Source organism: Homo sapiens, chromosome 12 (assembly GCF_000001405.40).
Source record: "Homo sapiens chromosome 12, GRCh38.p14 Primary Assembly".
Classification (NCBI taxonomy): domain Eukaryota; kingdom Metazoa; phylum Chordata; class Mammalia; order Primates; family Hominidae; genus Homo; species Homo sapiens.
In genome coordinates, this window is record NC_000012.12 from 127,416,643 (window position 1) to 127,433,121 (window position 16,479).

The window sequence follows — 16,479 nt, forward strand, 5'->3', positions numbered from 1 at the left end:
CTACAAATAACAGAAAGACAATTCACTTTTGCCTCCACTATCGCTGATGGAAATTTGTTTTCTTTCACCTTGGAAACTCATCCTTGGTAATATTTTGCAAATGTCTTGTCCTTTTTGGAAAAACTTTATTACATTTACTTTATACATGAGATGCAAGGTTTGAAAGAATTTTCCATGGAATAGCTGAGGTTCTGCACACTTCATATCTCACTCTTACCCCAAAATGCATTCATGATCGCAGGTGCACACATGCACACACACATAATCCTATACTTTCTTCCTATGATAGGCACCACAGGGTGTACTCGTGTGAGTATACACCAGCCCTGCAGCTACACAGCCCATCACCACATGAGTCAGCATGGTGACTCAGAATAACCTGGACGCCTCCCTACATCAGAGCAGCTCACAATAACCTAACTACACACTAACTACATGCCACCTTATATAGCTGATATAGATTCATGTATATAGGTATGGATATGGATATATCCTATCATATCTCTAACCCAATTTTCCCTTATCCAGATACCAAAAATTATGCCCAGCCATTCCCATGCTGCTCACCATGAGACAAAGCACAACGGTAGGGTGGAGAGAGACTGGAGTGGAAAAAACAATGATCATGATCAATTGCAGTTATAGGACCATGTGTGCTCATCATTATAGGGCCTTGAGTCCTTGGAGGAAACCTGGATAAATGGAGGCAGGAGAGGTGGCTGAAGCTGAAGCCTTATCTTCAGAGTTTCTTACCTCTGACTTCCAAGGGTCTGGAGTCCAGCCTCACCTCCCACAAAAGGCTGCGAGAGCAATGGAAGTGGAGGCTCTCAGTTCATAAAATATTCTAACTGCCATCATTACACTTGATTTTATATTTTTACCCTTTGCTCATATTCTACCTTTAATTTACCCATATGTCCTCTTGGACACACCTCCAAACTTGAGTTGAAATCTTCTTCCCCTAGACCCACCCTGGCCTAAGCTCCTCTCATCTCTACAGGGATGACAACAGAACCTTCCTGACTTTCCTTCTGCTTCTGTCCCCACACCCCCACTATTCACTCTCCTAACAACGTTTAACTCTCCGGTTTAAAATGGCACCCCAAAATCCCATTGCATTTTAGAATAAACACCTGTATGCCCTGCAAGGTATTCTCCAAGAATGCACACAATCTGGCCTCTTCCTGCCTATTTGATGTTGTAACTATTGACAGCAACAGGAGGCAGAGAAACTCTAGGCAGCCAGGGATTGGTCCCCAGTGAAAACCCCAACTTCAGACTAAAAGTTGCCTGAAACCTGTGGCTTAAAGTGAGAACTCCTATTCCTGTTTGCCCACTCTTTCCTGATTAGTTCTTTCTGAATAATGTCTTTTTACCAATGGAATGTTGCCTTTTCCAAAACTACCCATGGCCCACCCCACCCCTAATCCTGTGCCTATAAAGACCCAAGACTCAGTCAGTAGAGAGGGAGGTGACTTGACTTCAGAGAGAGGTAACTTGATTTCAGAGGGATGGCTGGACTTTGGAGGAGAGACAGCTTGATGACTTGACTTCTGAGAAGAACCAGCCAGAGATGGCCAGGCTTTGGGGGAAGATTACATGCCCATCCCAACCCCTTTCCAGCTCTCCTCTCCACTGAGAGTCACTTGTATCACTCAAGAAAATTCTCCATATTCACCATCTTTCGATTCATCTGCATGACCTCATTCTTCTTGGGCACTGGACAAGTATTTGGGTCCCCAAAAAGGGCTGTCACACTGGTTGTTTGTCCTTGCTGATGGAGGGCAGCTGCCCCACGTGATGAGGCAAAGGGCCCACAGAGATTATAACACATTGCTGCCTATGGACAGTGGAGCTCAGAGAACATTGTAACACACCCTCTGGGGCTTCAGGGATCACAGGCATGCCCACCTGGGTGCTGCCCCAGGGCCTGCATGGAGTTTACACCTGCTGGTGTTTAAAGCTGCCAGCCAGCCAGCTGGATCCCACACTCGCTCACTCACATGCTCCCTCCCTCAAGGGGCTGAGCACAATTGGCTGAGTAAATGGGGCACCCCTGTCGCAAGTCTGATTAAGGGGTCAAGATAAATATCCTGCATCACTATTACCCTCCTAGCCACATTGACCTTCCTGTTCTGAGAACACACGAGCTGACCTGTCTTGGAGCTCCTGCTCTACCTGTCATCTCTGGCTTCTCCCTGTCCAGCTCCTCCTTATCCTTGCCCCCAGTGCAGAAGAGGCCTCCTGTCACTACTGCATCTGTAGCAGCCCCGGGCCTGTAACCCTGCTTACTTCTGATTGCATTATTTGTTGTATTCCTAGGAAGCATCACTATTTGAGATCATCTTATTTAGGTTTTTATTTTCTTTCTTGCCCCCATCTTCAGAAGGTGAGCTCCTGGTGAACAGAGACCCTTCCTTCCTGATCACTGCTGTACCACAGACATAGGTGGGTGGGTGCTATCCCGTGAGGGACTGGAGTGTTGCTCAGCCAATACTTACCACCCTTCCCCTTGGAGCAGAATTAATCTCTTCCCATTTTGAGCATGTGTGTGTGTTTTTAGCCAATGTTATATTAGCAAATGTCAACACAAAAACTGTTCTCAAGTTATACCAACAGAGATGACTTTATTCGTAGAGGGAAGAGGTCCAAACTCAGTCTGAATTCCACTATCCTGCAACAGAGAACGGGAGAGTAGTTTAAAAGCTGTGGTCTTTGCATTCTAGGCCATCTGTGTTTGCTAATTGGCTTTACCCAAAAGGCAAAGTAGAATTTCCCAGGATCTGCAGGCAGGAGGTTGGTAGTTTTATAACTTGAAGCTAGGGGCCTGGGGCACCTGGGCTTCTACCATCATGCAAGGCAGGGAGCTGGGGGCATGATTTTCCTTGATCTTTACATTTCCAAAGGGATGGCTATCAGGTCCTCAATAAAGACATCCAAGGTTTGTAAACCTGGCAACAGGCTGTTGAAAAAATGTACATCTGAAAGGGGCAAAGAAGCAATTTTCAGTGACAAGTTTTCTAAAGTAAATGCTCCAAGAAAAGGGAGGCCAGGGTTCTGGAGGCAAGAAGAAGTTTTCTAAAAGTTTGGTCAATCCACGAGATACGTGAGTATGATGAGAACCAGGTGTGGACTAGTCTTACATAGCTGGGCTTGGCCTCTTATGCTTCTGCCATTTCCATGTGGAGAACACAGCATAGCCAGCCTGACTGTCCAAGGAGGATGGAGAGATTAAGAACAGACTTAAACCACACCCATACAAGCCAGAAGCCAAGCTGGCCAGTGCGCAGCCCCAAGTGGAGACACACAGCCTAGATCAACCAAGCCCACTCTACTGCACACCTGAGAGCTTGAGAATACACATTTGCTATTCTCATCCACTGAGGTCTGGAATGGAGGGCATCTTCTTTGTAGTAACACATGCCTGAAACAGTGCTCAACGAGTATTTGTAGACTATCAAATGAAAATGTAGTTGCTTCTCTTACAAGTCTTCCTTGATCCGGTAGAAAAAGTAGGCCAAGGCCAGGTGTAGTGGCTCACACCTGTAATCCTAGCACTTTGGGAGACTGAGGCAGGTGGATCATGAGTTCAGGAGTTTGAAACCAGCCTGGCCAACATAGTGAAACCCCGTCTCTACTAAAAATACAAAAAATTAGCCAGGCATGGTGGCAGGCACCTGTAATCCCAGCTACTTGGGAGGCTGAGGCAGGAGAATCGCTTGAACCTGGGGTGTGGAGGTTGCAGTGAGTGGAGGTTGCACCATTACACTCCAGCCCAGGTGACAGTGTGAGACTGTTTAAAAAAAACAAAAGAAAAGAAAAAGCAGGATAGGTATGCCTTTATTTTAGCCCACCATGCTATCTTTGTTTTAGCATTTATATTTCATTTATTTGTTTACATGTGTGTCCAACACCACAGGGACAGTTTTAGACATGTTGTCAGGGAAGGTCTCTCTTTGAAGGTGACCTTGATCATGTGCTCAAGGGCTAAAAGGTGGTAAGCTAGGGTGGGAGGGGGTAGCTTTGAATCAAGTCTAGCCACAGGTTTTTATAGCTGGTCTCTGAGCTACTCTGTAAAATCAGGTAAGCACTGGCCTGGATGACCTGGTAACTTCACATTCACTCCCGTCCCACCAGGACCAGGAATGATGGGGACCAGACTGTGACACTCTTCTTCATTCATTCCTCAGCAATGGTTAAGTTGGGTAGGAAATTAGCACTGAGTAGTTTATTTCTAGATATCAGGAAGACACATAAAGGCGTAATATATTCCATAAGAGAGTTAGTGCCTTGCGTTTACCAGGCATAGATTATGTAATAGCTGCTTTTTCTCCTAATCATCGTTATCCATTTCAATTACAACTACACTGTTAGAAATGCCAAAACATTTTATCATCAGACCTCACAGAAAATAATAGGTGAATTACAACCTTAACTTGCATATATTTCTCAGGCAGTTTCTGACCATTAGGAGGGGAGTAAGAAATGGAAATCTACTAGATGATAGTACAGGGATTTTCCTGTTTCTCAGCTACATGGATTTTTACATCACTTTTAAAAAATTTACTGACTTTTTTTGTTATAGAGACAGGGTCTCGCTTTCTTGGCCAGGCTGGTCTCAAACTCCTGTCTTCAAGTGATCCTCCTACCTTGGTCTCCCAAAGCACTAGGATTACAGGTGTGAGCCACCGTGCCTACCCCTACTGCCTGTGTCTTAACTGGTCAAGAACAGCAGGTAACTGCAGGGGCTGGACAGGGCCACCCCAGGTTGAAATTTACTTGGTGGAAACACAATGCCTGAAGCAAAGAGGGGTTGAGGGGTGATATTTAATCAATAGTAAGGCACTTGGGATAGAAACTAAACCTCTGGAAGGACACCAGAATCAGACCCAGGACAACTGAAGATCTGAGATGACATCCACCACGCAGAACAACCACAGAATATGGTTTGTAATGCCTGGTACGCAAATCTCTGATTTTAGAACATTCAGGGACCTCCGAGCTCCTGCCTCTATAGCCGTGTATCTGCTCTTCCTGCTGCCTGCCAAGCACTCCACCAAAGCTTGTAGATCTTGCTCTTTCTCTTCATTTAGTTTCCACCCAAATGCACCGTCCTCAGAGAGACATTCCCTGATGCCTCTCCCTCAGGCAGAGGCACCATGCACACACCACACCAGCTGTCTCAATTGCATTCTTATTTGCATCCTAACAGTTCACTCAATTACATTCTCTTATTTCATTCACGTATGTGCCTACTGTCTGCCTTCTCCACTAGAATAGGAACTCCTGTTGATTAGGAATCGTGTCCAATTCTATTTCTTACTGTATTCCTATTACCTTCAACAGTCCCTAGCAAACAGGAGGCACTCAAGTAATATTTGAATAAAAAAAGGAACCCACTTCTTTTACAGATTATTACAACGAGGTCTGGAAATGTTAAATAATTTGCCCAAGGCCACTTGGCTACCTAGAGTCAGAGCTGGGACTCAAGCATTGACGGTGGGTTTAGCCTCTGAGCTAAACTCTGAGTTTAGTCTCTCCCGTGGGAGAGACTCCTGACACTGGGGGTTCTTGATGCTGGGTTTAACCCAACTGTGGATGATTTGGAGAAACACAAGTTTGTCAAAGATAATATGTTTCTTACAGCCAAGTTTTGAAACCCATTCACATTTTGGCATATGTACGTATGTGTGTGTGTGTATATATATACGTATATATAGCACAAATGTGTGATGTCCAGAAGAGTGTTTGTTTGAAAATGTTCTTTTTTCCAGCCTGGGCAACATGGTGAAACTTCATCTCTACAAAAAATACAAAAATTAGCCAGTCATGATGGTGTGTGCCTGTGATCCAGCTACTTGGGAGGCTGAGGTGGGAGGATTCCCTGAGCCCGGGAGGTTGAGGCTGCAGTAAGCCATAATGGCATCACTGCACTCTAGCTGGACGACAGCGTAAAACCCTATCTAAAAAAAGAAAAAAGGAAGAATTGTTTTGTTTTGTTTTGTTTTTTGTTTTTTTTTTTGCCAATGATGTTAGTAAATTAGAAAATAATTTCACACCAAAGGGCACTACCTAGGCCTGTCAGTAAACATTATCAAATTTCCATAAATGAGGTGCTGTGATACAGAAATATCACCACTCTTTTCCATAACAAAATCACTATAATTAAGCTAGAGCTTCTCTGTGCTATTTAGCAAAATAAACAATTACCCCATACCCTTAAGGCTGATTATTAATTTGGGTATTGGGTTAATATTCTTACAGTCTGGTCTGGAAATCAATTCCAAATCTCATGCTCAGGGCAACTGAGTAACTGAAAGCAATTCCAGTGCAACGCCTGTACAAAGTGCAAACCTGCAAAGCTGCTGGGTACACCCCAGGCCACACAAGTGATGCCTATGCATGCTGAAGTTGGATGGAATCATGAAGACTAGAAAGTCACCACTTCAACAGTAGCACTGAGCACCTGCTTAGGGCCAGGCCCTGCGGTAGATGCGGTGTATACCAGGGCGACGCCGCCCTGACCCTGAGAAGCCGACAAGCCCATGGAAGGACCTTTGCTAAAAAGCACAGACTTCCCTTGAGGCAGTGACAAGCCACAGTCTGTATTGGAGAGGACTTAAAGCAGTTTCAACTCATGCAACATTTAAACCACTTATGGACACACCCAGAGAAAGCCATGGCTACTTCCTGCCCATCTCCCAAGCCAAAAGCTAAAGAGGGAGGTGGCCTGTCCCAAGCAGACATTTGACATTCTAGACTGAGTCAGAGAAAAGCCCACAGAGTCCGGTCATCTCGTCTCACAGCTGCTGAAGGCTCACTGATGTCCTGCTCCTAGCAGATGTGACCCCTGGCTGAGAAGGATTTTAGTTGCTCTCAGGTTAATATTATTTACCATCAGCTTTGGGGCAACCTTTTAAATGGATGGATATTAACAGAGCCCTTCCTAGAACAAGGATAAAAAGAATAAACTGCCTTTCACTCACCATCTGTGTAATTCTATTTCTTCCAGCAATGAGAAACTTGACGTAGGTCATGACTCCAGAGCTTCCTGTCAAACCAGGGATTGCTGAGATCCCAAGGACTCTGTGACAAGTGGCTGCATATTCCTTCTGTTAATCTCTCTCCAAATGTGCAGTCATGGGTTCCCAAAGACAGTCAGTCCAGGCAATCACAATTCTAAACAGAAAAAGTACAACAGAAAATTGATTTCATGAATGAAAAATGTAAAAAGTTATCAGCACAAAGAGGGGGAAATCTATAAATAACTAATGGCGTGCTTAGGGGGAAGAAAAGCACATCACACTGTGAGCACACCCTTATTGCCATCCATTTCGATTGTGGCAATAAAAGGATGTAGCAATTCAGACCACGATGTGAATTCCTACCCAGTCTCGAGGGATGGTCGGCTAATGGAGGACTACAAATATGGCACTTTTAAAATATCCTGCCACTAATGAAAACCCATTTGCTTCACAAGTAGGATTTCAGTAAAGTAGTCGGGGTCAGGAGAGGATTAGAAGTATCAAGTAGAAGCTTCATTTAGCTAAGAAGTAGTTCAATTGCTTTTAGTGTACTTAATATTTGGAAGATAAATTCTTACCCTGCAACCTTTAAGGCAGTTGGAAGCTTCAATGAGCCTGGGGACCAGCGAGCTTTCTAGGTTTTTGGGTCTCAACCTCCATCTCTAAGCTTAGCTCTTCAAGTCATTAGCATGGACCCTTAGGTCTTTGGCATGAGGTTTTGTGTATGGCTTAACTGGGGAAAAAAAAAACCTACATGCTTGTATAGCACTGCTATGAACTGTATATTTCTGTCCCCCCTCCCTCAACTTATACGTTGAAGCCCTCAACCCCAATGTGACTGTATTTGGAGATAGGGCCTGTGAGGAGGTTATAAAGATGAAATGAGCTGATAAGGTTGGGGCCCTAATCCAAAGAGACTGATGCTCTTTTAAGAAGAGAAAGAGACATCAGAGTCCTCTCTCTCTGAACCTGTGTCAAGGAAAGGCCGAGTGAGGACACAGCAAGATGGCGGCCACCTAAAAGCCAAGAGAAGAGGCTTTAGGGTAAAACCATCTTGACAGCATCTTGATCTTGGACTTACCAGTCTCTAGAGCTGTGAAAAAGAAATTTCTGTTACTTAGGCCACCCAGTCTGTGGTATTTTGTTATGACAATCTGACCACACTAATGTAAGTAAATACACAGAATTGTATGAGCAGTGGATCAATCAAGTTTTCTTCCAAGGAAAAGACACCAAATTGCATTGGTGGTTACCATCCTTAGGCATTTCTATGGAAACGTGTTGATAAGTCTCTGTCACACTGGTAGACATGCCAACATCCACTCAGAGTTTAGCAGTCACATGTAGAGAATGTTCAGCTACCCACCTCACCCTTTCTTCTCAGGTGATGGCTACTTGTTATTCAGATATCCTCAGATAACCTCTTCAAAAAAAAAGTCATTTTTAGCCTCTTATTCACCATCCTATCTCCCTGTTTAGTGCTCTTAAAATTTCCTGTATTTTCCTTCAAAATACCTCTGAAAGGCTAATTAATTATTTGGGCAATCCTTTCTCTATAGTTCCATCACCAAATGTGTCCATGAGGATGAGAATTGCACCTGTCTTTTTCAGCACACTGCCTCACAGTCCAGCACAGGGCCTTGTAAACAATAGCTACTTAAGAAAATGTAGATATACACACAGAACACATACATGTAGATATACACACAAACACACACACAAACACAAATAATAGTCTAAATGAAACCTAAGAGATTAGAAAAATCTAAAGGGTGGAATTTTTAAATTTAGGTTAATTTTAGCCAATTTGGCATCATTTTTTCCTTTCTTCTTATAGCAGCATGGCAGTTTTTGCATTGGGAATTTATTCATTCCACACTTTGGTCCATGTGTTCAGATGGAGCCGACACCATCTGCAATTACAGGGACTGTCATGTGAGCCAGCCAGGCCAATCAACATATTCCATTCTGTTGGTCCCAGTGATTGGTTCAGGGATGGGCACATGACTGAGCCTGGGCCAATGAGATTTAAGCTGAGGTCTTCCTGAAATCATTGGGAAAGAGAAGTTTTCCTTTCTCCAAAGATTGCAGAACCGATAGCACAAAAGCCTACAGGCGCTGACAGTCATCTCGCTACTCCCATGGAAACTAATGAAGCCAACACAAAACTGAAAGAGAAGCAGATTCCTGATGAGATTATTGTAGCACCTAGATCCAGCTATGCCCAAGGTTAGATGTACCCTTGAATTTTTTTTGTGAGTTAATTTGTTTCCTTTATGGATTAAGCCATTTGAGTTGGGTTTCTGTTTCTTAAAGAGAGTACGCAGTAAAACACCAGTGAAGGGAACTTGAGACCAGTGTATTTTCAATCAAGCCACACTGCGTACATAATAAGGACAAAATGAATTTAGAATTCAATGGAAGAGGACTTTTCAGAAGAGGCTGGAATTGGGCTGGGGTTGAAGGGTGGGTGGGATTTGTGCCAGCAGACAGAAGAGGAGGACATATGGGGGATAAGAGGAACAGCACAGTGAGGCCTAGGACCAACGCGGGTGGACGAGGCAGGGAGCAGCTTTCCTGACTCAAAGTGAGGAGAGCAGCGGGATGCAGAGGAAGAAGGCGAGGTGGGCTTGGCAGCGCCGGGAAGAAACACCCTGGACGTAAGGACTGGGATGAGACTTGAGGTTCATGAGAGAAGAAAACAACAGAGTCCAAAGTACTTTTGGCAGATAATGAGAGAGGGCCGCTTATAACCAGTTCTCGGATGAAGTTTGCAAACTGGAATGAAGATGTGTTTTCTGTTGCCCTGCATGGTGTTTCTAAAGAGTCAACATTTAAAAATTGAGAGATTCTACCTCAAATCCAGATGTCTGACTTCTCTTGAAACAAGCAACAGAAGTTGGTGTGGTCCTGGCCCCACATCCCTCTGTGGCAACCATCAGCTGAAGCTGAGGGCATCTCTCCGTTAGAGGGGCAGGGGCACCCGGGCCAGCACCAGCCCTCCAGTCTCATTACCTGTGATTAGCCTGGCCACAGCGAGCATGTGTGGGTCTGACCCTGATTGAGAGGAACTCCTCCTCCCAGGCCAACACCAGCCCTCCAGTCTCAGTACCTGTGATCTCCCTGGCCACAGTGAGCATGTGTGGGTCTGACCCTGACTAAGATAATCTCCTCCTCCCATCAGACTCACAGGCTCCAAATGCATCTCCCTGAATTCAGGGAGGACTCACAGCCCCGCCTAAAGAAGGTCCATAAGCCTTCCAGCTCTGGCTCTCCTGGGTACTGCCAGTGCCTCCCCTGCTGAGTATTCCAATCTAACTTTGATATTATTTCTCACTGAGATCACCTTCCTGAACATCTTTATTATTCAAATGCATTAGGAAGTTCTTTGCGTAAACTGTCTTATAATGCAGGTTATTCCGCAGGGGCAATGACCCACATGCCTTTTCTTTTTTTTATTAATGAAAATTATAGGATGTGTGAAAAAATTCATTTTATGAAGACAGAATTAACTTAAAGAAGCAGAATTTCTAAAAGTCTTAAAAAACTTTCAGGAAAAGAAAAACCCTTTATGTTGAAGGATCTTTAAAAAAGAAAGAATTAAAAGATACAGAAAATGGCTAAGATTAGATTTTATGAGAGTAAATTTACAGCTCCTTCCTGGCCAGTGCTTTGAGAGTGACCAGCTGTAGCTGGTCCTCAAAAGAAGTGGTTTCCCTTCAACCCAGTGATACACACTGATGATGCTGGCCCCAGTGGTCTGGAATTGGCTCAGTTTTATTTCCTCCTTTGACTCTGTGCTATGGGCTAAGAACAGGAAGCCCACAGATACTCAAATGGCTGAACAGTATTGTTCAAGAGTGAAATGCGTTGAACTGCAGGAGAGATGATGTATTTGGCTTAATAAAAAAAATAAGGCCAGGCGCGGTGGCTCACGCCTATAATCCCAGCACTTTGGGAGGCTGAGGCGGGGAGATCATGAGATCAGGAGATTGAGACCATTCTGGCCAACATGGTGAAACCCTGTCTCTACTAAAATACAAAAAATTAGCCCAGCGTGGTGGTGCTTGCCTGTAGTCCCAGCAACTCAGGAGGTTGAGGCAGGGGAATCGCTTGAACCAGAGAGGCGGAGGTTGGAGTGAACCAAGACCACACCACTGTACTCCGGCCTGGTGACAGAGCGAGACTCTATCTCAAAAAAAAAAAAAAAAAAAATTTGCTTTCAGTAGCTTTAGAAAATGTGACCTGGTCAGCAAGGCCTTAGACAAGCAGACAGGATAACAGTGAGAGGCTGCAGTTCACACTTTCAGGTCCTCCAGAGAGACTTGCGCCAATGACACGCCAATGGTTCCCCATATGAAGCAGAGGGTTCCTCTATTTGAAGGTGAGGTGGCCTTCCCAGCTGCTCCCGTTTCAGCCCCTCTTCGTGTTGAGACCACATAGACATGGCCACGTGGAAAGCAGCGATTAGCACAGAGTCTGAGGAGGGCTCTCTGGATCCAGCCAGGCACGGGAGGGACTTGTTCTGGAAGGAGGTGGGCATTTGCCCATCCATGAAGCCCCTCATCTGTGCTCATAGGTGTGATCACAGCACGAAAAGAAGACAAAGAACAAAGACCACCAGATCTAGGGATGATGAGGTTCAGTATGCCATTGTGGTGGCTTTTGTAAACTGTCTTAGTTGCACAAGTGAGTTTTTTCATTTTCCTCAGGCCCTACTTCCGGAAGAAGAGGAGGAAATGAAATCCACAGAAATCAATCTGAAAACATGGGCTGTTCTCCTAGCAATCCTCATATACCTCTGGGGCAGAAAGGAAGCATAAAAGGCTCACCTCCTTACACCAGGGAACTAACCGTCCAGCTGAGTGAGCATGGTGCCTGCATGGGCAATGAATGCTGCTTCAAGACAGCACAAAAGTGGAGGCCACGGTACCTAGCCAGCATTAGGGCTGAAGGATTTCAGCGAAGTGAGAGGTTTCTGTGGGCTGAGCAGAGCTTCAAGAGAGGAAGCAGGTTTAGAACTCATGCAAACATACACACGCACACACACACGGGAGCACTCAACCAATATTTGTGCCACCACCTTGTCCTGCATCCTGCCACAGCTCTGTTTAACCCCCACCCCACGCCATGCACAGAGTAGGCTTTGCTTTCCATTAGGAAGACACTCGAGTCACCTGATTCCCACCTGTCTGTCAAGCGCAGTTCCTGCTGCTCCCATCACACTCACCTAGACATGCACACCTGTGGGCCTTTGCATCCTGCTCACCTGGACATGTACACCTGTGGGCCTTTACATCAAGCTTATCTGAATGTGCACACCTGTGGGGCATTTACATCATGCTCACCTGGATGTGCGCACCTGTGGGCCTTTGTATTATGCATGCTTGGATGCACAGAGAGGAAAACACAAGTTCACGGTGAGGCACAGCAGCATCATCGCGACAACAGAAGTATTCAGAGCATTTCTGCCTGGGTTCATATCTGCGTCTACCTCCTGCTACCTGCGTGACCTTAGCAACCCAGGGTTCCTCAGCTACTAAGGAGATAACATCAGTCCAGGCACTTGGCAAGGCTCAGTAATATAATTTGATCATTCATTCATTCAACACATATTGATTGAGTGCCCACTGAGCACCAAGCACTGTCTGAGGTACTGAGGATGCAGCAGTGGAATTAAGCAATGTTTCTTGCTCCTGTGAAGCTTGCATTCTAGGGGGCAAAACTCGACATTCACCGTGGTAAGTAACTGAAATCATTAGATTAGCTGGTAGTGACTCATGAGCAGGTAGTGAAATAATTAGATTAGCAGATACCATCAGAGAAAAAAAAAATAAAGTGAGAAAGGGATAGGGAGGGCCAGAGTTCCTGGAGGGGGCTTCTGGCTCCGTAAGGGAGGCAGCCATGATAAATAATGAAGTGCTGGCACAGGCTACAATGTAGAGGAAGGTGGCAAATATCCCGCTGAGTTAGAGAAGTCAATAGGAAGGATCCTATGTCCCATGACTCTATTTATAGGAAATGTGCAGAATAGGCACATCCATCCAGAAGGAATGCAGTTGGTGGATGCTGGGGTAGGGGGAGGATGGAGTGACCACATAATAGCTGTGAGCCGTGGATTTACTTATGAGTGATGGAATGTTTTGGAACTAGATAGGTGTGATGGTTGCACAACATTGTAAATGTGCCTAATGCCACCAAAGTGCTCAGTGTAAAATGGTTTAAAGATGAGAAGGAGACGAGGAGGGAATTATGAGGATATCTGTGTTTTCCAGGCACTGGGAGTAGCAGGCACGAGGGCCCCAGGCAGTAAGGAGCATGCCATGGTGTGTTTGGGGGACAGCGAGGAGGGGCTGGTGTGCCGAGGTGTGTGAGCAGGAAACAGAAGCAGGCGTGAGATTGGGGCATCAGGGGCCTTAGGCCACTATTATCATAATTCTGATTACCACAGACAGACAGGAGGAAGCCTATGAACACAGTCATACACATGTTACACTAAAGAACGACCTCACTAAGATGGGAAGTTCTCTATGCTTATAAGAAGGAAAAGAACTTGCACTATAAAAGGAAGGAAAAAAAAGTAAAGTCTGCCTTACCCTTTCAAAGAAACCTGTTTTCCCGGAAAGAACTTGGCACTGGACACCCAGGAGGTATAGGACACCCAACCCCCTCTGCACTCATGAGAAGGAAAAGAGCTTGCACTGTAAAAGGAAGAAAAAAAAAGTAAAGTCTGCTTTTCCCCTTCAAAGAAAACCTGTTTCCTTGGAAAGAACTTGGCATTGGACAACCAGGAGGACCCAACCTCCTCTGCACTCATTTGTGCTCCAGTGATGAGTGTCCACGTGGGTGACCCGGACTACGCTGGCCAGTGTGACAGCAGTGCAGGCGGGCCATCTCCATTGGCTTCCCAGTCCGGGCTGTCCTTGGACACAGATGCGAGGGACACTGCTCCATAGATGTGGGTCTCATTTCCGGGGATCCTGAGCTGGCTACATGTGTGATCTGATCTCCACCCGCCCACTCGAATGTGACCATCCCCCAGCCCTGAGGGAGGTGTGAGAATTGTGCAGCTCTCAGCTCCCCAGGACCTGCAAGGCCCCACTCAAACCAAATGACCCCTGCTGGCTGCCTGGGGTCCCAGCCTGGTTTGTTTCCTTCTCTCTGGAATCACAGACCTGTGCTGCCTGCTTAGTGCCTGAAAACTGCTGTTTCCTGGCTTCTGTTTGGGCTCCTAGTTGTTTATGGCAGGGGTGGAGGCCAGGCTGGCCACTGACTCCATCCTGGACACAAGCCGCTGAACCACACTTTATAATAAACACAGGTGATTAGGACTTGTGTCCCAGGCTCCATCCCAAGGCTCCCATTTTTTTGCCTCAGGGACGCCACTGCCTTGTACTTGGCTCCATCTCCTACACAGACTCTGTTCCTGAGTCCTGCTGGTTCTAGCCAGACCTGTCTCTGGAATCCACCTTCTCCTCCCCATCGTCACACCTTACTCACCCTGCCTCATGACAGGCCTCTGCCTCCCATTCTTCACACCCACCAGGGATCACCCTAACCTGTGTTCTGCCATAGCTCTGTTTAACCCCCACCCCACACCATGCGCAGAGTGGGCTTTGTTTTCCGTTAGGAGGACACTTGGGTCACCTCATCCCCATCTGCCCATCCAGGCCTGGCTCCTGATGCTCCCATCACACCCACCTGGATGTGTACACCTGCGGGTCTGTGCATCAAGCACACCTGAATGTGCATACCTGCAGACCTTTGCATCATGCGTACCTGGACGTGCACACCTGTGGGTCTTTGCATCAAGATGACCTGAATGTGCACACCTGTGGGCCTTTGCATCACATTCACAGGGACGTGCACACCTGTGGGCCTTTGCATTATGCTTGCCTGGCCCTTGCTTGTCCGTGGGCCTTTGCTCCGCCCTTTCTTCTGCCTGAGGATGGTCTTCGAAATTTCAGTCCTGTCCCTGGAGAGGCCTGGTAGCTTCTGTATCACTGTACAATCATCTCCCCAGTCAGGTTGGTGGTTCCTTCTTCTCTCTAAGCCTCTCCTTGCATATTGGTCTCTCGGGAGATAAAGAATTGCATTTTACTCTTTCTCTTTCCCCAGGCCCCTGCAAGAGTCCCACCCAAACTAAATGCAAACATTCTGGATGACGTTAATTGTGCCCAGATGAGCTGTAAGGGCTGGCTGTGCTTAATAAAGAGATCAAGGGATGCCAGAATGCAGATCCCAATTCCAACTCTGAGCACAGGAGACCGATTCACCCTCCACCCCAATTAGGAGCTAAAATGGTGGAATTAAATTGGCAGACATGAGTTCGAAAGAAAATCCTCAAACTAAGCAAAATCAGGAGAAAAAAAGACAGTCTTAGGGGAGAAACTAGGAATCCCTGAGAAGGACGTGGAGAGAAGGAAAGAGCTGAGACACGTTTCCTGGGTCACTCCCCGTCCATCAGCTTCTTGTCACTTGCTTTACATGCAGCTTTATCATGAGAGCGAGTGAATAAACAGCCCCCCTGAGCCACAGAATGAGCCTGAGCTTTCGAAGGGCAGGTGGGCAGGTTGCAGGCAGCAGAGTCCAGCAAGGACCCTCTCTAGCCAGACCTACCTGCAGCGGGGAGGGGAGGGTGTGTGTCTCCAGGGTTGGGAAGGAGAAAATCACAAAGGAGACAGGACAGGAGAGCTCCAGAGAGGGACTCCCAGCCAAAAGAGAAATGAGATTTTTTAATAAAAATTAGCAAACATACATTTTGCTTGCCATGGAATACAAATAAAATTCACAAAGTTCAGATGTAAGGTATAGGATCCACAGGTCTTTCTGAAGCCCCTGCCATATGCCAGCCTCTGAGGACACAGAGATGCACAAGACACGGTCTTTGCCTCCAGGGAGCACAGAGAGACTGCAGGGAGGAGGCCTGGGAATAAGCAGAACCTGATGCAGCCTGGTGGGTGGCCAGGTAGGAGCAGCCCAGGACTCAGAAGAAACCTGTAAGAGAGTAATGAGGCAGATTTAAAACGACTAAAACCCTGCACCTCCCTCTTCCCTTTAGGGCTGAAGGCTCCTCGGCAGGCAGAGCCCCACAGAGGGCAGAGGCAGGATGACCCTCCTAGACTCCGGCTCCCAGAGACAGGGCCCCGACAGTGAGTGTCCCGGCAGCTTCTTGAATCCTTCATGCAGGCAGGCATTTTTAGACCATTCCCTGGGAACTGTTTTGGAAGCTTTGTGAAAATGCACAGTTATGAGCATACAGGTGGTGATCAATAAATGCAGGTTTAACTGTAATGGTCTGGGGATTCATCCTGGCCATCTTCCCAGGAAAGCTGCTTCCTTTATAAAACCAGAAGCACATTTGGTTTCTTTTCACCTGTTGTCAGTGAAATGGGCTCAGGGGTGCCACAGCAGCAAACACGGTATTCAGGTGGCTTTGGGACAAGGGTTTGTT